The sequence below is a fragment of the Homo sapiens genome, chromosome 22 (assembly GCF_000001405.40).
Source record: "Homo sapiens chromosome 22, GRCh38.p14 Primary Assembly".
In the NCBI taxonomy this organism is placed as follows: domain Eukaryota; kingdom Metazoa; phylum Chordata; class Mammalia; order Primates; family Hominidae; genus Homo; species Homo sapiens.
The window spans coordinates 22,739,359-22,760,490 of record NC_000022.11 but is presented as its reverse complement, the minus strand read 5'-3'; the positions used below and the strand labels follow the sequence as shown (position 1 = coordinate 22,760,490).

General features: G+C 48.0%; 1 pseudogene, 2 gene segments (V, D, J or C) and 1 further gene, besides 1 other annotated feature; all 4 read right to left on the bottom strand.

Moving 5' to 3' along the window:
* Window positions 1-21,132, bottom strand: part of IGL (immunoglobulin lambda locus) — an 896,838-nt gene that overhangs the window by 162,423 nt on the left and 713,283 nt on the right.
* Window positions 1,280-1,750, bottom strand: IGLV2-14 (immunoglobulin lambda variable 2-14). The segment is given in 2 exon segments: window positions 1,280-1,587; window positions 1,705-1,750. Coding segments are annotated over 2 exon segments (354 nt in total).
* Window positions 4,654-4,938, bottom strand: IGLV3-15 (immunoglobulin lambda variable 3-15 (pseudogene); annotated as a pseudogene). The gene is given in 1 exon segment: window positions 4,654-4,938. A coding segment is annotated over 1 exon segment (285 nt).
* Window positions 12,570-13,070, bottom strand: IGLV3-16 (immunoglobulin lambda variable 3-16). The segment is given in 2 exon segments: window positions 12,570-12,870; window positions 13,025-13,070. Coding segments are annotated over 2 exon segments (347 nt in total).
* Window positions 13,809-14,309: an enhancer, noted in NCBI's record as "H3K4me1 hESC enhancer chr22:23088669-23089169 (GRCh37/hg19 assembly coordinates)". NCBI's record gives its function as "activates a minimal SCP1, AML or CMV promoter by ChIP-STARR-seq in primed H9 embryonic stem cells {active_cell/tissue: H9 hESC(primed)}" and the evidence as "EXISTENCE:reporter gene assay evidence [ECO:0000049][PMID:30033119]".

Here is a 21,132-nt window from a genome sequence, read left to right as displayed (position 1 = left end):
ACCCATGATACAATCAAATAGATGATGTGAGCATGTTCTTATCCAATGAAAGACCTCAGGCTAATACAGGAGGTGAAATACAGTGACCCTCACAGAGAGATTCCCACCTAGATCATATTCTGGTGGAATTTTCAACCCTCAGATAACCCTACAAACCAGGGACTGTTCAACCACATCCTGTGGCCATCCCTGGCCTGACACCTGTTTTTGTATGGCCTAGAGCTGACAGTGGCTTTTATCATTTTAAATGGTTACATTGTAAATGATGCTATACATACCTATGGAATATCCCCAAAGTTGATTCTTGAGCCACAAAGACTAAAATACTTCCTTTTAAAATTTATTTTTATGTTCTTTAATTTAATAGAGATGAGAGTTCACTGTGTGGCCCGGACTAATCTCAACTCCTGGGAGCAAGCAATTGACCCATCCTACCCTTCCAACACACTTGGGATTACAGGCGTGAGCCACGGTGTCCGGCCACGAAGATTAAAATTCTTCTTATCTGGATATTTAAGAAAAAGTTTCCCAAATCCTAAAAAAGAAAAAGTACTGAACTATTTCTGAAAAGGCCCAAACTTAAGCAGAACAGGAGACTCAAAAATAAAACCATAACAGGTATCATTTTTGAGTCTGACAGGTTGGCAAAAACTTCCACTTTCAACAATGTACTCTGAACAAGTACTTCCGGCTGGCATTGAAAATTGGTAGAATCCCTCTGGAGGGGAATCTGACAACAACGGGTGAAAATTACACACACACATCTTTCTGACCCTCAATTTCACTTTTAGAAATGAATCCTGTGGTCATATTCACACAGGAACTCAAAGGAGGCTGCACAGGGATGTTCGCTGCATTGTTATTTAAGATCAAAGTTGTGGCGATAACCATCAGAATGTAGTTGCTAAAATTCTACCCACAGTGTGGGAGATGGTGATGCATGTAGGGTGAAGACATCCCTGAAAAAAGCAGTGACTGCATCAATCAGGAAGCTCCTTGTCACTGTCCCTGCATTTGAAGAGCTAACAAGAGTTGCACATTCAGGGACCGCGGCACACAAGCATCAGGAAGCTGTCCCTGTCCTGGATGAGAAACCACAGAGCGGGTTTCCTTTTGGAATTCATGGTGGAAAGGGAAGGAGCTGAGAGAGAAGAATTCTCAAGGCCGCACTGCAGGAAGCCGCTTGCACTGGGTGAGGAAGCATCTTCAGAGCAAGGAGGGGGCCTGAGAGCCCAGGGCAGGTTTTGGTCTCAGTTCCCCAGGAACTTGGACCACTGTGGAGAGTGCTGCTGCTTGTATATGAGCTGCAGTAATAATCAGCCTCGTCCTCAGCCTGGAGCCCAGAGATGGTCAGGGAGGCCGTGTTGCCAGACTTGGAGCCAGAGAAGCGATTAGAAACCCCTGAGGGCCGATTACTGACCTCATAAATCATGAGTTTGGGGGCTTTGCCTGGGTGCTGTTGGTACCAGGAGACATAGTTATAACCACCAACGTCACTGCTGGTTCCAGTGCAGGAGATGGTGATCGACTGTCCAGGAGACCCAGACACGGAGGCAGGCTGAGTCAGGGCAGACTGGGCCCAGGACCCTGGAAAGAGGGAGAAACACATGCCAGTGAGTCAGTGCTGGGCCCCGGTGAGCCTGAGGAGCAGGAGACCAAGGATCAGCCCAGAGGTCCCTGAAGCCCCTTCCCTGGAGGCGTCACCTGTGCCCTGAGTGAGGAGGGTGAGGAGCAGCAGAGCCCAGGCCATGGTGGAGATGTCCTGAGAGCGCTGCCTCCTGAGACCCCAGCACTGGGCCTGCCCCCAGCCCTGTCTTATCTCCTCTGCCAAAGAGGAGGGTGGGGCCTGCATGCAAATCTCCACCTTGAGCTCCTCCCTTCACCCCACCCTCACCTGGGCCTGGGCTCAGAGGCTTCTGCTTCCTTGGATAGTGGAGCTCAGCTGAGATTAAAGTCCTTGTTTATCTATTCTGATGGCAGGATCTTAATTTTTTTGTACCTGATTTGCTCAGGAGAAAGATCTGCTGAAGTCCCTTACCTGAGTGATCTTCTGGCCCTCAGTGTCTCTGCTGTGTGGTGCCTGTGTCTCTGTGACCCTCCAGGCCTGGGCACACCCTGCAGTGCCCTCTGCTTGGCACCCACCTCCAGGTTGTCCCTACTGTCAGGAAATGGGGCAGCCCGCCCCGTGGAAACCTCTGCTAGGTGGCATTGGTCCTGAGGGCCGCAGTCCTGAGACCGAGTCCACTGCTCCCAATCCTTCCCCTGCCACTCACAAGCAGGTGACTTGTCCTTCCCAGCCTCTGGTTCTCAGCCTGAGAAATGGGGACCACAGAGTCCACTCTGCACACAGGTGATCCATGGGGATATGAGCCAGCAGGGGAAAGGGAAAGTTTGTTAACAGGCATTTCTGTGTTCACCAGAGTGATATTTATTGTGAGTGTTTGATTTATTAAAAGATTTACTTCCATTTTACTGTGATTTATGTGTCAGGTCACAGAGATGTGTGTTTCATGCTTTCTTGCTTTCCCCCAATGGAGTACATCCTCAGGACAACCTAAAGCTGACCGCTGTCAACCCTGAGACACTGAAGACACTCAGACATTCGAGAAATACAATTTTGGTTTTTTCCTCAAAATAATTTTAATATCTTTTCCTCCTTCCCCATTGCCTATGACAAATTTTTTTAATGATTCATATTAAAATAAATATTAATGAATTTAAGTTCCTTTTAAATATAATAACATACATTATCCTGTCTTCCCACCTAGAGTCATCTCTGAAACCATGACAAGTGCATAGAGCAGCTATTTGAGCACCAGGAAAGGAAATGGTACGCAGCAGTTTGGGATGGCCCCAGCAGATGAAATACAACAGGGTCGGTGTGAGACTTCTGGATTTCCTCTGTGTCCCCTGGCTGGGATCCAGACAGCCTCAGGCCTGGAGGGGCACAAACCTGAAAACAAAAAGAAGTCCGGAAAGTCCTCTTGCTCAGGATTGAAGATAGGAAAAGAAGCTTGTTTGGCTCAAAGTGAAGGCTCAGTCCCCTGCACAAGCAGGTGGTTCACACCTGTGTTCTCATCTCTCTTACACCAGCGCCTCTCCCTGGGTTCACACCAATGTCCTATGGATGGAGATGGGGCTTCCTGCACCAGGTCACTCCTCAGCCACTGTAACCTGAAGGGGTGCAGACCAGCACTGTTCATTCACAATATGATGTGAGCCTCATGGAAATCTGAATGTCTAGTCATCGCATTAAAAATACAAAGGGAAGAAGTAAATGAGTTAAATAATTTACTTTATTTACCTAGCATATCAAAATAGTATCACTTTCATATGCAATCTAAGTACAATTATTTGAGACATCTTATATATATACTTTGCATGGCAAGTGTTATTATTTTTTGAAGAATCTTTATGTGGAGATTGTGTGGCTGATGGAGATGTGAATGGGTTTCCTGTTGACAAGGGTGGGCTGTGGTGGCTTTTTAAGTGTCAACTTTGATAGGCTGAAGGAGGGGTGGAAAGAATGATTTTTTGCACAGAATGTGGAGGGTGGAGGTGGGCAGTGTCCATCCTGCAGCTCACCCTGCAGGTGCATCTGTGGTCCCTGCATGGGATGAGGCTGCTCCTCCTGCCCCAGGTTTCCCTGCAGGGAGATCTGACTCCAACTCTCCCTCAGACCCCACAGTGCCTGGCATGCCAGGGCCCTTTTCATTCCATACAAATGCAAGAAACACTCAGATCTCATTGGGCATTTGCAAACTCACAATGATCATTAGGAATAAACTGGTGCTTTCTGGTATACTGTGGCCTCCTGAGGTTCCTGATGGCTCACGTTCGGGATGACTGGTTATGTTATTTTGGGATGCCTGGAAGCAGACTCTGAGATGGAGCTTTGCTTTCACAGTAGGTGTGAAACTAAGTGAGGGAGGCAACACCGGGCACAAGGACACTCTGACCCACATTGAGTCTTCTACCATCCCAATAAGGAGCTGTGAAGCTGGGAGGATTTTCTGTTTCTCCCATATTGAAAGGGAGTCTTGAGAGCTTCACCTCAGGCAGTTATGAAACCACACCTTGCTAAGAAGGGGCATAAACCTGGAGGAGACAGTTTTCTCTGCTGACAGCCCTTCTCAGTGAGGGCACAGCTCTGAGCTGCCAGAGCTACCAGCAGTGCTGGGTGGGTGAGCTCAGAAGAGGGAATATGGGTGGATCCCACAGTGTCCACTCCACTGGTTTTCCTGAAGAGAATGGCAGGATGCCACGGGAACGTGAGCTGGGCAGTTCTGGAAACTGACTCAGGATATTCAGCCCAAGGACTAGCCTTCACCCCCTATGGAAATCCAGAGCCCAACTAAGCATGTCGACCTTGGTCTGATCTTCCAACCAGGCCCCACTTCCCCAAATCACAACTGATTCCTCCACACCTCAATATATCCTGGTCATCTCAGCCCTAAATTCACTCTTGATGCCCCCTCTGCAGAGCCTGCCTGGAGGGCCTGTGGAAAGGGCAGCCTGGGGGTCTCACATCCAGGTTAACTGGGCAACACACACTCATGGCTTTGTCCACTGTCTTCCTGGGCTGGAGGACAAGAGTGACACCAATGGAAGAGGTTTTTGTGTTTTGCTCCTTCATCTCCCTGTGTCACTGTGGGATGAGGAGTGCTAATGTCCCACATCTTACAGTAATAGCCTTGTCCCCACCCTGGGTCCTGTTGATGGTCAGGGTGGCCACGTTCCCCAAGTTGGAGCCAGAGAATCTCTCAGAGATCCCTGAAGGCCGCCCGCTATCCCCATAGATGACCCACACACGGGCCTGGCTGGCTTCTGCTGGTACCATTGAGCACTTTTACTTCCAATACTGCTTTCCCCACAGGTGATCCTGGTCATCTGTCCTGGGGCCACTGACGCTGAGGGTGACTGTGTCAGCTCATAGGTGACAGAGCCTACAAGGAAAGAAAAGGGGACAGAAAAAACTTGAAACTGAGGGTCTCAACCCAAGGATATCTGGCTACTTGCCAGGGCTGGAGTGAGCCCCAGGAATAAAAGAGCTCTCAGGGCACCTATGAGCACAGGAGCACAGAGTGGGGGCATTTCACCCCAACCAGCCCCTCCCCCTGCAGCAGGGTCACGAGCATCCTGCCCACCACACACAGGGCCCTGCTGAGCTCAGACTGACGGCCAGGCTGAACCTGGAGGCCTGGGGCTGGGCAGGTGGGTGAGACCCTGGGGGCAGCACCTGTGCAGTGAGTCAGGAGACCAAGGAAAAGAGGGGCCAGGCCATGGCTGAAGTGCCTCCAATGCTGCTTCTCAAGTCTGAGGCTGGGCAGGCTCCTCCCAGGTCTCTCAACCCCTTGTTGGAGAGAAGGGTCCATGATGCCAATCAGCAGAGTCAGGGGCTGCTGCTGGAGGAGCCTTGTGATTTCGAGAAGGGCACAGCCCCAAGGGACCCAAAGAGGTTAGGGGTGACCTTGCCCTCCCACCCTTTGCCCACAGGATCTCCTTTATGAATTGATTCCATATTCTCTGCACACATCCCCACATCACACTGTGCTCAGCCTCACTCCTGGGCTCCCTTGGTCACAGCAGAGCTCAGAGGTGACTTTGTCTGTATTTACAAAGGAATATGAAGTCCCTCCTATGGGATGGGTTTTGACCTGGTCTGGGAGGTGACCATAGAGTCATGCTGGTAACTGTGGAATTATCTGGGGTCCCCAGTCCCCTCCTCCATTCTATCTTGGCTCTGGAGGGAGGTATTTCATTTTGGTCTAGGCCTCTAATGTGTCCTATCATAAATATTTTATGTTAGAGAGGACATTTCTGGTGTAGGTCTAAATCTATTTTTAGACAGTACTTTCCAGAACCCAATGCAAGTTCCCTCTTCGTCTCCACTGTACAGGTGATAATGCACACCTTGGACAGGTGCGGGTCCCACCACAGCCCACAACCTCTGAGTGATAGAGGTCAATGAAATTCCTTATTTGCCAAGTGCGCACAGAGTGTTGGAAGATCCATGAGATGCTGGAAGTTTCTGCCTTGGCTGTGAGCTTCTAGGTAGGTCATTGCTGCTGTGCCTCAGTATCTCCAGGATGCTGTCAGGACCAGGGACAGATGAGGAGGTGAAGGAAATGTTTGCTCCATGAGAGAATGAGAGGGGGCTGCAAACTCCAAGATCCCCAGAAGTGAATGTTTATTATAAATATGATGTCTCCAGTTGCTGGGGAAAATGTATCAATGGATAAGAACTTAAGTCAACTAAAGGTTAATGAGCAACTATTTTGTGACTCACCAGGAAATCAAGAGCTGTGATTTGGCAGCTTCCCCAGGAGAGAGTCGGGAAAGACCAGGGACGGTGGATGTGGAGGGGCAGCTAGGAAGTTAGAAGCCAGCCACTATGTCTGCAGGACAGGGGTTCCCAGATCAAATGGGAGTAGGGGGATACCTGTGACCTCAGAGAGGACACTGCACATGAGGGGGATGCAGTTTTAGCACAACTGGGTGTGGAGGAGGGGGCGTTGTGAGAAGTCAAGTGCCTGGATCTGTGTCAGACAAAGAGTCAGCATGCAAAAGAGCTGAAGACAAAATGTGATTCTAGAATTTTTACATCAGTGTCAAGGACAATACTCTAGGACAATAAAGACCCTTTCCCTCTAAATCTGAGGTGGTGGTCACTGGCTCTTACTGCATGTCAGCATCTCCCTATCACCCAGGCCTGCCCCATCCCCAGGTCGCTTTGCCAGTTGATTCTCTGCTTCCCCCTGGTGGCTGCTCCACACTGTCGGCTGGGAGCTCAGGGACTTCCGGGGTCTAGGTGTGGATTCAGAACCTGCTGCTCAGGTCCTTGATGCCCTGATCTGTGGACGGCTGGTGCCAGGGGAGGAAGTCCTCTTCTCTGTGTGGCCCCTGCCTGACTCAAGACCAGGTACAAGGGGCTCAGCTTACCCAAGAAAATGCAAATATATATATATAGAGAAACAGTGAAACAAACCCCAATCATATTGGAGAACAGTAACTTGTAAACCTGTAACAGGCATTGTGAGGGGAAGAGCTGGCTCAACACCCTGCAGTGAAGAGTCTGCTCTGTGTGGGGACTGGAAAGGATAGCGGAAACCTGAGGGATCTGGGACCCAGATCAGTCCCTGTCTGATGTGATATCACCTTGTAAATGAAGAGCTGGAGGCAGATGTGTTGTGCAGTCGGGTGTAAGGTGGAGAATTTCCTGTTTATGCTCAGGTGATCTGTGAGGGGCTGGGCACACACACCCCCTCGTGGTCCACAGGATGCAGTTGCTGATGCTGGGACTGGTTAGATACAGGTGCGCTCAGATAGGCCCTTCACCTGTCCCTGTTTGCCTGGGGCTGAAGCCACTCAGGGGCGGTGGCTAACCTGCCTCAGCCGTCCTCCCAGTGCTCACCTTGCAGCCATAAGGAAATTAAGCTTCTGTCTCTTCCATTGATCCTGGGTCATGCTCAATGCACCCAGCACAGACAGGTTGACTGTTTTCTGGAATGTTCTCTGGGAGTTCCCCAATTAACTCAGCCATGCAGAGCAGAAGACGCGGCACCCCTTTCAGGGGCCACCTGATTGTTCCCAGGCTCTTACTCCAGAGGAAGACAAAGCCCTTGGCATAGCTGGGGTGTCTCCTGTGCCGGTGGGTAGGTGTTTGCAGAGAACAGGTTTCCTTGAATGTCACCATGCTTCCCAGCATTTTAACATGTGACAGCAATGCATCAGTAACATTTTTTGGCTCATGAATCTGGATAGAGAAGCAGCTGTTTGCCAGGTTATTACACAAAAACCTTTGCGCAACATTTGCTGTGCCTTCCATGTGCTGACTCATCACATGTGGCAGCGTGGTCTTTCCCATGCTTCTTCCTGCTCCTGGTTCAGGCCTTGTTCCTTCCACACCAGGGCATCCCTACGTCCTCATCAACCCTGTATTGTTCCTGCTCTGGGCAAAGCCTTCAGCGAATAATTAACCTGCTTCCTCAGTCTGTTCCCTCAAAGTCACTTTGTGAAGCTGAATTTCTACCTCAGTTTACTGTGAGTCAGTGGCTGTTAAAAGTCATCCTCTCCTTCACCTGTGTAATGGCTGTGATTGGCAGTGAAGGTCTTCTTACAGAGCACCTGCTGAATGCTAGTGGCTGGGTGCTGGAGATTCAGTACTGGAAATTCCATCTGCAGAATAAACAGTTCCCTCAACTTCTAAATCCATCAATAGGTACTGCCCACACACACATTGGTGGGTAGGGCCATCATCAGCTGCTATCTTCCCTCTATCAACTCAGTGCCCAAAAGTCGTAACACCCTTCCCCTTGATAGTGAAAATATCAAATGGACCCATCACTTGAGCAAGGTCCTACTGCACACAATGAACCTGGTCCAACTGTGCACCAGAGACTTGAGCTTTTCTTGTGGAACTTTTGTTGGGTTCCAAGGAATACTGTTTGAAAAATGTTGGGTCAGAGAGAAATAACATCCAATTGTCTGCATGAAAACTTAAGGGTCTTGGCTGGTAAGGAAACTAAACAACCATAAGAGACATTCGTGTGCAACTGGGAAACATGACCACAGTCTGCATAAAAGAGAGCTGTTAGTATCCTCACTTGTGATAACGAGAGAGACAGAGACCCCAGTATGGCCTTGTCCACAGTTGTCCCAACCAGAAACAGTATATATATATATATATATATATATATATATATATATGCTGATGGCAATAATCTGTAAACTTCAGTGTGTACACATGATTTCATGATTAAACCAGTTGTACTTTTTTTTTAAGGTGGCATGGACCCAAAGAGTGAGCAGCAGCGAGATTTTTTGTGAAGAGTGAAATAACAAAGCTTCTACAATGTGGAAGGGGACCCGAGCAGGTCACCCTAAACCAGTTGTACTTTTAAAGAAGGAAATAAAAAGACTGAGACATCCTAGTGAGAAAAGAAAGCCCAATAAATGTGGCCCTAGAGACTGGAATCAGACATCTCTCCTGGAAAAGGGCATCACCCTCACCCAGCAGGACCCTCCCTTCACACCTGCAGCCCTGGGACATGCAGCAGAGGCGCAGGTCCTGGGCCTGGCATCAAGGGTTTCTTAGTGAGCTCCTCAGAAAGCAGCCCAGAGCCCAAAGATAAACTCCAAACTATCAGGGCGCTGGGGGCACATCCAGTCAGGACTGACCTACCTGGGGAAGGTGATGGGACTTTGGGGGCCATGGGAGGTCAGTGTGCCCCAAACACAGTTCCCAGGTGGGACCAAAGGTAGTGTCTGTGCTTCCTCTTCAGTTTCTGAGAAATATCAGTACAGAAAGGGCCCTGAGGCCAAAAGGGGCTGGGTCTCCAGTCCTTGTCAGGCATCAGGCAACCTATTAGAATGTGGGGGTCAACTCATCTGGAAACCAGAGGAGACACAGCCCCTGGGGCTTCCACTGAGCTGGTTTTACCCAAGGAAAGGAGAAATTCTGCAGGACTGTGCCCTCTGCGACAGCTCTCTCCTCCCCTGCATGACGTATGATTACAACTGGGACCATGTGCTTTTGTGTGGATTCCTAAACTGTTCATGTACACCACAAACCTGACAAAGGTCCTGGCAGCTCTGACCACCTTCACCCTGTCCACTTCTCATTGGACACATGCAGGCCCTGAGAGGATGGAGAAGCTGCTCAGAACCTCCAGCCCCTCAGGGGCCAGGTTAAGACCAGAGAGGACACCTGACCCTGAGGCCTGACCTATAGCTGCTCAGAGGGCAGGTGAGAATGAGAGGCAGGCCGAGGTGGGACAGTACTGTGGCTAGTCCCTATCTCTCTGTGTTACTATGAGTCCCTGCCAGCTGCTCCCACTGTTATTATCTGCAGTATAGTAATAGTCAGCCTTGTCGCGGGCCTGGGCCCCACTAATGGTCATGGTGGCCATGTTCCTTGATTTGGAGCCTAAGAATTGGGCAGAGGTCCCTGAGGGTCACTTGCTGTTATACCAGATTACAAGCACCGAGGCCTGGCCTGGCATCTGCTGGTTCCTAAGTGTATGTTTATCCTGAGTTTATCTCCAGAGCATGTGATCATGGTTGTCAGTCTCAGGGCCACCAAGACTGAGAGCAGCTGTCTCTGTATGTAGGAGGCACAGGCTGAGAGGAGAGGAGAGCAGAGGAGAGGAGAGGAGAGGAGAGGAGAGGAGAGGAGAGGAGAGGAGAGGAGAGGAGGGCTTGAGGATGAAAGGCCCCTTTACAGAAGGTCCCAACCCAGAGCTGAAGTCAGGGTTTGGGAGGCCAATTACAGTGTCATATATTGAGTGGTTTAATGGAGGGTCTTTCACCCTTTGTAAAATGTCTTTTAAAATATTTTCACATTCCTGCCTTATAAATTTTTCACAATTGAAAGAATGTTTCCTCTCTCAATATAAAAATACATTTTTCTCAGTGTTGCTGAAACCTTAACTGGGTAGCAAGATGTGGTTGAGGGGATCCCAGGGTAGGTGGGGACCAAGGATTGGCATTTTATGGCCAATGACACTGTGGTTTGGTTGCCATAATGCATAACTGAGCCAACAAGGAATCAAAATAATCAGACAAGATCGTGGGTGTGGTTTAGGTGGTCCTAGTGTCCCAGACTGGAAGCACGTGAGCAGCCCCCCCCCCTACTTATTTTGTTTTGAATGAGCAGAAAACACCATTTGAGAAAGACTGCGAGGGCTCCTGAGCCTTGGCAGAGGCTCTGTGTGATTGTGGCCACAGAGCTCACCACGAGACTCAAGTTGCTGATATGCTGGATTTCGTCTGAAACACAGTCCCGGGTGGCCATTTTAGGCAGCTCCCCAATCACACGGCAGGGATGTATTTGTGACTTGAGGGATTAGGTTACGAGGGCCAAGTAAGTTGCGTGAAGAGTTGGCCAAACAGACATGACCCAAGCCCTGCACCATGCCTTCCTCTCACCCTACAGCCTTGGCCTCCAGAGTGGCTCCCTGAGATCAGCTGCCTAGTAGGAGGCAATTAGGCTGGGGTTACAGATGTTTCTGCAGGACATGCATCCACCACTGGTGTGAACGGTGCTAGTACTCCACCTGGCCTCTGAGAATCCCTGAACAGCAGTGGTGGAAGAACATTCTCCTTAAAGCAGAATTTTAAGCAGTGTAATTGGCTCATGTCACCTGCAAAGAGATGGGCAGAGGTTCCTAATTCATGGGCTGTGACTCAGGGTCCTGGAATATGGTCAAGGATGTTCAGGAACTTGGGAGAGATACAACAGGAATACTGATCACAAATATGTCAGGGGGAGAGATGTGTGAGTAGACCTCCTCCAGTGGGCAAAAAGCATGAGAATTTTTTTCCATATATAAATACTCACTAAGTCTTCTGTGAAAATGAAGTGATTTTGCTAATCAGGTGAGTAGGGTGACCTGTTCTATGGACACCAGGCAGCCTCCGTCAACCACTCCTGTCATTGTCCAACAGACTCCAAAAAAATGTGGCCATGGTGGCAGGGATAGAGGCTGATAATGGGCTCATCAATGTGAATTTCCACTAACTGGAGCTGGCCTGGCTGAAGCCACTGCTGGGTGACAATCTGTCAACAGCAGAGACCAACACAGGCATCCCTATAGGATGACCTTCTCTGTGGAAAACAGCCAGGGGCCTGCTTGATATTAATTTCATTAGAGCTCTTCCATCATGGGAGAGACAGCTCTTTTTCCTTACTAGCATTGGCATGTACAGAGGATTTGCTTTCATTGACAGCAATGCTTCTGCCAAAACTGTTATCTCTGGATTACAGAATGATGCACCCATCACGATGGTATTCCACAGGAGGTTCTGACCAAGGAACTCGTTTCACCGCAAATAAAGGGCTATGGGCCTTTTCTCCTGGCATTCAAGATTCTTACTCTTGTCCCCAACATTCTGAGACATGTGGCTTATATGAATGGTTTAATGACTGCATGGAGACTCCATTACTGCACCAGGCAAGTGGCAAGTATGTGTAGGGTTGGGCAATGTCTTCCAGGATGGGGCATGTGCTGTGCATCAGTGCCCAATAGATGGTGCTGTTTCTCCCACAGTCAGGATCCACGAGTCCAGAATCAAGGAGTAAATTGTAGTGGCTCCACTCAAAAATGCCTTTAGTGATCCATCAGCAAAAATTTGACATTCTCTCATCCCGACCTCAGGCTCTGTGGGTCTAGAGGTCTTAGGTGCACTGGAGGAATGCTTTCCCAGAGGATACAACAATGACTGCACTGAACTGAGACCTGAGAGTTCCCCACATCCCTCTGGACATGCCTGCATGGATGTCTCCCTGTGTCTGTCTTTCCAGTCAGACCCTCCATCAACAACTCAAACCCCAGGCAAAGAAACACAGGACTGCCAGGCCTGCCAGGCACAAATCCACTGCAGACTGACTCCTTTGCAGCGCCTGCCTGGAGGGCTGGAGGGAAGGGCAGCCTGGGGGTTCAAATTTGGGTGAATTTGGCCAAGCCTGCTCATGGCTTTGTCCACAGTCCTCCTGGGGCAGAAGGAAGGGGATGAAATAGAGGGGGAGGGGTTTATGTTTCACTTCCCTGTCTCCTTGTGTCACTGTGGGATAAGTACCACTGCTGTCTGCTGATAGACAGTAATAGTCAGCCTCGTCTTCTGCCTGGACTCCACTGATGGTCAATGTGACTATTGTCCCTGAGCTGGAGCCAGAGAATCGCTCAGGGATCCCTGAGGGCCTCTCGCTGTCTTTATATATCACCAGCACAGGGAACTGGCCTGGCTTCTGCTGGTACCAATAAGCATATTTTTTTGGCAATGCTTCTCCAGAGCAGGTGATCCTGGCCATCTGTCCTAGGGACACTGACACCGAGGGTGGCTGTGTCAGCTCATAGGAGGCCTCAGAGCCTGCAAGGAAGAACAAGAGAGGGGGCTTGAAGACAAAGGACCCATTTCCAGGAGTCCCACCCAGAGGCTGTGTCTGGGCTTTGCTCAGGATTCAGGTCAGGCTCAACTTGGAATCTGTGGGGACTGAGCCTGGGGAAGGGCCTGGGGTCAGCACCTGTGCAGAGAGTGAGGAGGGGGAGCAGGAGAGGGATCCAGGCCATGGTGAGATTCCCAGAGCTGTGCCTCCTGGACCCACAGAACAGTTGGGCTCCGCAGGCCTCTCTTATTCCCTCTCAGGCTTTCGGGGGCAGTCAGTGTTAAGCGTTTATGCAAATTTACATCCTCTGTGGCTCTTCCTGGAGAGATGTCTCTCAAACCAGCTGTGAGGGCAGCACAGGCAACAGGAGGAACAAGCAGGGTCTCTGGTTAGAAAATCAGCTGCAGCCTTCAAGCCCTGTGATCATAGACCTTTGTGGGAATTAACCTCATGACCACTGTCCCAAACCTCGCTGACCTGGGGTCTGTCCTGGGCCAGGCTCAGCAGAGCTGTGGACCTTCCAGGAGGTTGGCCATGGGGCTGAGCTGGGCTCTGTGGAGAGATCATGATGACACCTGACTCAGCAGCAGGTGGCCCAGGGACCCATGATCTTCCTCCTCCTGGTCCCTCAGACTCAGTCCCCTCTTGTTCATTTCATCTAAATGCTGTGCTGTGTCATTAGGACACTTGCTGATTATTCAGTGGGAATATTTGGGTCATTTAAGCAACCACACACCCCTGTGGAGTCAACATGGCATCTGGTCTCATTTCAGTCGTGGTGCTGCTCCTGCTACATCACCCCTCATTGCCACAAGAGATTAGCAATCAGCACCGTCAACTTGTCTGTTATTTATTCATGTTTTTCTCATCAATATTTTATGTAAACTTGCAAAAAGCAGCAGAAAACCACACTGGACTGAGAATCTAACGTTAGGTCCATGGTCTCTGTAAGGGTCCCAGGGTCATGGTCTCTGCACAGCATGTGAGCTCCAGAGATTGGGTGGTCCCTGGTTACTCCAGCCAGGCCCCTGCTCAGTGTCCTGTCACTGAGCGTGGACAGCACCATGGTCAGAGCTGTGGCCTGAGGCAGGTGAGAAGCCCTGTCCCTCTGAAGAGTGTCTCCTGAAGGAGGCTGGGGATGCCCATCCAGGGCCAGGGTCCCAAATGCCCCACCACACCCACCCGAGACTCCCCTGAGTACAGGAGCTGCCCCCTGAGTCAGAGTCCGCCTGGAGCTGGAAGGAAAGGCAGAGGGAGGAGGGGTCGGGTGTATCTGGAAGTGCCCAGGACAGAGGGCTCAGCTCCCCAGGACACTGCTGGACCAGGAGGGATGACACCCTGAGAGTGGCAGGAGGCTCAGGCCGCCATCCTGGGTGAAGAACCCGGGCCCTGGGAGCCCCATCACCTCACACTATACCCCCTCCTAGAGCACCTCGACCTTGGGACGCCTCCCAGGGATTCCCCTTCCTGAGGAAGCTGCCCAAGCTCACATCTGGGCCCAGCCTCCTCCAGCTGCATTTCCCTGGTGAGGCCTTCACTGTGCCAGGCTTCTGTCAGTGTCCTGGGGTGACACCGTGTGTCTGACCCTCAGAGCGTGGTCACTGAAGCCTGAGGGGATAGGATGAACTGCACTCACTTTCAGTCTGAAGACAGATTCTTGGACACCTGTTGAACCCCAGGCTGGCCTTCTCTTTGCCCCAGCTGGGCAGCCCCAGCCTCTCTCCTGAAAGCTCCTGGCTGCAGCTCTGCTGCCCCCAGCTGGTGGAGGAGACTCAGCCCATCACCGCATGTTTCTGGTTCTGCAGCTTAGCTGTGAGCTAACATCACCACCGTCGGCACCATTAATTTCTTGTTTGTCTTTATTTCATTCCATACTTCTCAGAGTTTGTGCTGAGAGGATTTCTACACTACCCTAGTCTGTCTTCCTGATTAAACTGGGACTCTCCTGCTTATTCTCAGCTGGGGACTGCTCTTCCCACCATACAGAAAGCAAGCTCTTTTTGAGTCCCTTTCTTGGAATCCCTGCAGAGGAAAGACAAGAAGTTTTGTCTGAAGCCCATTGAAGCCCATTAAGTGACATCCCCTCATCAGGCTTTAATTCGCATGACTTTCGTTGTTTTTCTGTCTTTTAATTTTGAATGAAGAAAGAGCTTCCTCAGTTCAGTATAAGGCTCCTCACTTCACAGCAGGTAACACTGAGGCCAAAAGAGACTAAGTGGCTCAGGAGAACAGAGAGCAGTGGGGGCAAGTCCAGGAGCTGGCCCAGGTGTCCTGAGTTCTGAAACTGGGCCCGTTGGGGTGGTGCTTAACCAGGATGGGGAGGGAGGGGGCATGAGGGCCAGGCAGGCAGTAGGGCTGTGTCCCATGGACACACTGCCAATCCCCATCATGGCCTGCCCATCCTGAGAAGCCCACTTCAGCCCGCAGAAGGTGGGGGCTGTACCCCAGGCTAGAGCTGGAGAATCTGTTGGATTGGGGGCTGCTCTGAATGCAGCGCCTGGCCTGGCTCCTGCTGGTTCTCTCTGCACTGTTGCCTGCTGCACTCTCTCCTGAGCAGGTGGGGGACAGGTGTCTCATGGCCAACTCTACTGGGGGTAGCTGAGTCTAAGAGACCACAGGGGCTGCAGGATAAGGAGACTTTAGGGCTCATTCTCAGGGTCCCATCTCCTGAAATATCACCTGGGCTGAGCTCAGGGTCAGGACTAGGATTAGGGTCCTGTGGGGGCTTAGCCTGGGGCAGCATCTGTGCAAAGAGTGAGGAGAGGTAGCACGTGAGAGGTCGAGGCCATGGGGAGACATCCCAGAGCTTTGTTTCTGGAACCCATAGCTGAGCCTCGTTTCCTCAGGCCTTCTCCATACTCTCAAAAGTCCCCACGAAAATGCTCCCTCCATCGCGCTGGACTGCAGATAACTTGGCAGACTTCAGTGTGGGCTTCAGGGTTTGGTTCATGTGGAATTCTTCTTTTCATATCTCATATGAGAGTGATTGTTGCTGCTTATTTGAACAATCTTGAAGGAATGACAGGAATCCCAACAGACTTCATGTCGGGACACAAGTCAGGAATCTCAGGAGGGTTTTGATATTACTTCCATATCACATAGGATGTTTGGGACAGCAATAATGATCAGTCTGACTGCTGAGATCCCAGGGAGTCTCAAAGAAGCTCACTTGCCAGACTTGGAGCCTGAGAATCAATCTTATGTCTCTTAGTTTTAATCTATGACCCCATACCTCAGCTGTGTGGGTCTCTACTCTGTTTCTGGTGGAACCAGGAGACACAATTGTTAATCTTCTGACCAAGCAGAAAGTCCCTGTTAGCAACAAAATTTCATAAAAAGAGAATGAAATGTAACCATTAAATAGTAAATGTCTTAGTCTGTTTGTGTAGCAATAACAAAACACCTAAGATTGGGCAATTTTCAAACAATACAAATGTGGAATGTTGAATACCCCCAATACTGCTGTTGATTCAGCAAAACAGATGATGACCGACTGCCAGGTGTCCATGAAGTGGAGGGAGACTGAGTCAGAGTGGTCAGGACCCCAGTCATGAGGGGAGGGACAAATGTGGAGATGAGCAAGTGCGTGGCCAAACCTCAGGGTGCTATGGCTTTGATCTTTGTCGCCTCCAAATCTCATGTTGAAATTGGATCCCCAGTGTTGGAGGTGGGAACTAATGGGAGCTTTTAGGGTGATGGGAGTGGATCTCTCATGAATAGATTAATGTCCTCACTTGGGGTGAGTGAATTCCCACTGTTTCCGAAAGAGCTGGTTATTTAAAAGAGCCTGGCATCTTCCTCTTCTCTCTTGCTTCCTCTCCCCCATTGACCTCTGCCTACACTGGCTCCCCTTCACCTTTCACCATGACTAGAAGCAGCCTGAGGTCTTCAACAAGAGCAGATGCCATATCTTGAACTCTGTGGCCATTGGAATTGTGAGCCAAATAAACCTTTTATTTTCTCTATAAATTACCCAGCCTTGGGTACTTCTTTGTTGTAACAGAAAAGGATCTAAGACACAAGGGGAGGAGTGAGAAGTGACCTGTGCTTCTAGAATATGCTCTCCTTGTGTGAGTCTTACCTGTGGCTTGAGTGAGGTGGGTGAATAAGAGCTAAGCCATTCAAAGTGTGGTCCTGGGAGGACCAGCAGCAGCAGCCTCACCTGGGAGTTGCTGGACACAGAGAATTTGGGGCCACATCCAGAACTGCTGAGGCTGCATCTACATCTTACCGAGACCCCTCAGGGGCCTTGTGTGTCCACTGAAATTTAAGAATCTCTTGTCTAAGCCACAATGGAAAATCTCACTTCCTCTACTTTTGACAACAAGCCCTCGTTCCACCAAGTCCTTCTGAGGCCACCTGGGTCTGGACTCATCAGACAGACCTGGACTCATCAAACTCAGCTTGATTCACATGCTTGACCCTGTCATGATGTGCAAAAAATAATTTAAGAACGGGCATTTTTACAATTCACATCGGTGGTGTGTTGGGGAGGAGACAATATTTTAATGAGATATCCAGAGTGAAATACATGGTTCATGCCGTTTTTCTTGTTCTCACTCAGCTCCAGTGAGTCTGGACTTTCTTTATTTCTCAGACATATTATGTTCTCTTCTGTGTTCCAACCTCCATGTGTTTCTCTCTTTGAAAGCTTTCCTGTGTATATCACTATTCTTCACCCAATACCTGCGTAAATGCTAACTATCCTTTCACATCACCGTACTCATCACTTGTCAAGGAAGTGGTCTCTGACCACCAGAACATTTGGAAATGCAGAGTTGTAATCTTTTAGCATTTAACAGTAAGAATCCATGTAGTTTGGTATGGGATAGTGAGATTCTCTGCATGTAATAACATTTTCTACAGTATTGGCACCACTAGTCTTATCTTTTATGGTGCTCTAGCAAGACTAGAAAAACAGCAAATGGTAATGTTTCCTTACATGAAAACATTTGATGTGACTGCTGAGATGACCATGTGGTTTTGTCTTCTATTTTTGCTACATCGTCACCAGCATTTGTTATTTTTTTGTCTTCTTAATGATAGCTGTCCTAGCTGGGATGAGATGATATCTCATGGAGGTTTTGATTTGCATGCCCCGGTGATTAGGGATATTGGGCATTTTTTAATTAACCTATTGGCCTTTTGTATGTCTTTGACTGTGAAAAGTCTATTCATATCATTTGTACACTTTTTAATGCTATTACTGGTTTTCTATTCTGATGAGTTATTTCAGCTCCTTGTCTTATTTTCTTATACTGGATCTTAGGTCCTTTTGAGTTGAATTGTTTGCAAATATTTTCTCTCATTCTACAAGTTGTCTTCACTCTGTTGATTGTTTCCTTTGCTTTTCAGAAGATTTTTAGTTTAATGAAGTCCCATATGTCTAGTTTTTGTTGTTGCCTGTGTTTTTGAAGTCTTAGCTATGGAATTTTTGTCTAGACCAATGTCCTGAAGAACTTTCCCTATGTCCTCTACGTTCCCTCCTAGTTGTTTTATAGTTTTGGGTCTTATACTTGGGGTTTTTAATAGATTTTGAGTTGATTGTTGTATACGGAGAGAGACAAGGGTCTAGTTCCATTCTTCTGTATACGGGTATCCACTTTCTCAGCACCATTTATTGAAAAGTGCGTCCTTTTCTCAATGTATGTTCTTGGAATTTATGCTGAAAATCAGTTGGATGTAAATACATGAATTTATTTTGGTGTGTTCTATACAATTTTATTAGTCTCAATGTCTGATTTTATGCCAATACCATTGATCCTGTTTTGGTTACCATAATTTGTAGTATATTTTGATTCAGATAATGTGATATATTCATCTTGGGGTTTTTTGTTTGGTATTGCTTGGCTATTCAGGGGCTTTTGTGGTTCCATACCAGTTACAGAATTTTTTTTCTGCTTCTGTGAATGTCATTGGTATTTTGATAGAGATTTGATAGGAGACAATATTTTAATAAGATATCCAGAGAGAAATTCATGGTCTGGAGATGGGTTTGGGTAGTAAGTTTTTTCTTTTAATATTTTATAAATATAGCTCCACATGCGAGCTTCCTGCTCGCATGACTTCTAAGAAGAAATCTGCTCTTATTTGTGGATGCTTAATGGGTAAATAAAATAGAAAGAATGAATAAGACCTACTATTTGATAGCGCATCAGAGTTATGTCAATACTATTTGATAGCACATCGATAACAACTTAATTGTACAATTTAAAATACCTAAAATACTGTAATTGAGTAGTTTGTAACACAAAGGATAAATGCTTGAGGGGATGGATACCCAATTCTCCATGATGTTACTGTTTCACATTGCATGCCTGTATCAAAATATCTCATGTATTCCACAAATACATATATCTACTATGTTCCCCCAGATGTTGAAGAAAATTTTACAAAGAAAACGAAATCTGTTCTTCTTCTTATGTTGTTCGCCTGTACCTACCATGTCTTTACTCTATGGCTACTTTTAAAAGTATGTCTTTATCATAGTTTTTTAGCAATATCATTATGATGAGTATTGGTGTTGTATTACTTGCGTGTGTGTGTGTGTGTGTAACTTGTTAAGATTTTTGGAGTTGTAGGTTTCTAGCTTTCAACAAATTTGGGAAATTTTGGCCATGATTCCTTTAAACGGCTTTTCTACCTTTCCTCTCCCCTCACCAATGTTATCTCCTTTCATGCCTTTAATTATACCAAGTAAGTCAGCTTGAAGATGTCCTGAAATTCACTGGTGCTCTCTTCACTTTTTTTGTACTTCATCTTGAATAGCTTCCATTGCCATGTCTTCAAGTTCACTCAACTATTCTTTCACAGCACCTAACCTGCAATCATTCTCATTCAGTGCATTTTTTCAATGCAGATATTTAGAGACCATTTCTAAAAGTTAAACTTGGATTTTTCTTCATGCCTTCCATTTCTTCACTTAACACCTTCAATCAATCCTCTATCCTCATGAGCAAGGAGAAGAGTTATAAGAATTGCTCCAAAATTTTTGCATACAAGGTCTATCTATCACGTATACAATTTTATTGCCACTTTGGATTGATTCATTTTTCTCTGTGTTAGAGCATATATTTTCTTTTTTCCTTGCAGGAAATGTTGATTGAATGCCAATCATTGTGAAGTTTTCTTTGTTGAGTTTATAATTCTTTTGCATTTTCTTCTCTATTTTCGTCTTTTATTTTTGGATTCAGTAAAGTTACTTGGAAACTGTCTTAACTTTTCTCAGTTTGCTTCTACACTTTCTTAGTTGAGAGCAGAGTAGCCCTATGTCTAGGGCGACATTTTCCTCAATACTGAGCCGAAGCTCTTCTGATGAGTCCACCTCATGCCCCATAACTCAGGCCTTTCCTCTGTGACTGGAATGTGTGTGTGTGTGTGTGTGTGTGTGTGTGCGCGCGCGTGCGCGCGCGCTCTTTGGAGTGTTCCCTCAAGGGTCTTTCTCTTTCAGAGGGAGTTTCTGTACACACAAGCGCTCTTCAGTGCATGAATATTTGCAGACTTCAGAGTTGTCTCCTTGTGCAACTCTCTCTCTCCTCTTCAATACTTTTCCCTCTAGACTGTTTTTTGTTTGTTTGTTTTTAATTTTTGAGTTCCCTGCAATCCTACTCTGAGAGGGAGGATTCCATGCAGTAGGGTTTCAGGATACATTCTCAGGAAAGAAGTGTGGAGTGTGTGACTGGGAATGTTTTACAATTGAGCGTTCAGCTAGAAGGCACTTCAATTTGATATTCAGGGTCTTAAATTAAAGCATGACTTTCAGATTAAGGCAATCAGGGAGTCACTGCCCATGAAACACATTTTGAAATGGGCAATTCTTTGAGCAAAGCTATTCTCTGTACTGCATGGCAGTTTCTGGTGGGGAAGAGCTGTGAGAAGCCAGGAACTCCCTGCAGCCCTGGGTGGATGGTGGGTGCATAAGTCCTGAAATGGGAATCTGAAGGATGTCACAGTGCACATTATGAAAGGCTTCCATGTTCAGAACATCAGGATGCACAAAGCTGGGGCTTGAGGGTCTCAGTTAAACATGGGCAGTTCAGAGAAATAATCCAGGGTATTTGGGCCACAGAGTAGAGGCACTGTCTTGGGTTCAGTCAACACACAGGAGGAAATTCAGTGACCATGAGCACTCAGTAGCTGTCTCCCTCTTACTGTCCTTCCACTCAGGTCATCTTGAGCCAAGGTACATCCATTCCAAATAACAGCAGGACAGCCTGGTTCTGCCAGCCCCAAATCCTATCCTGACC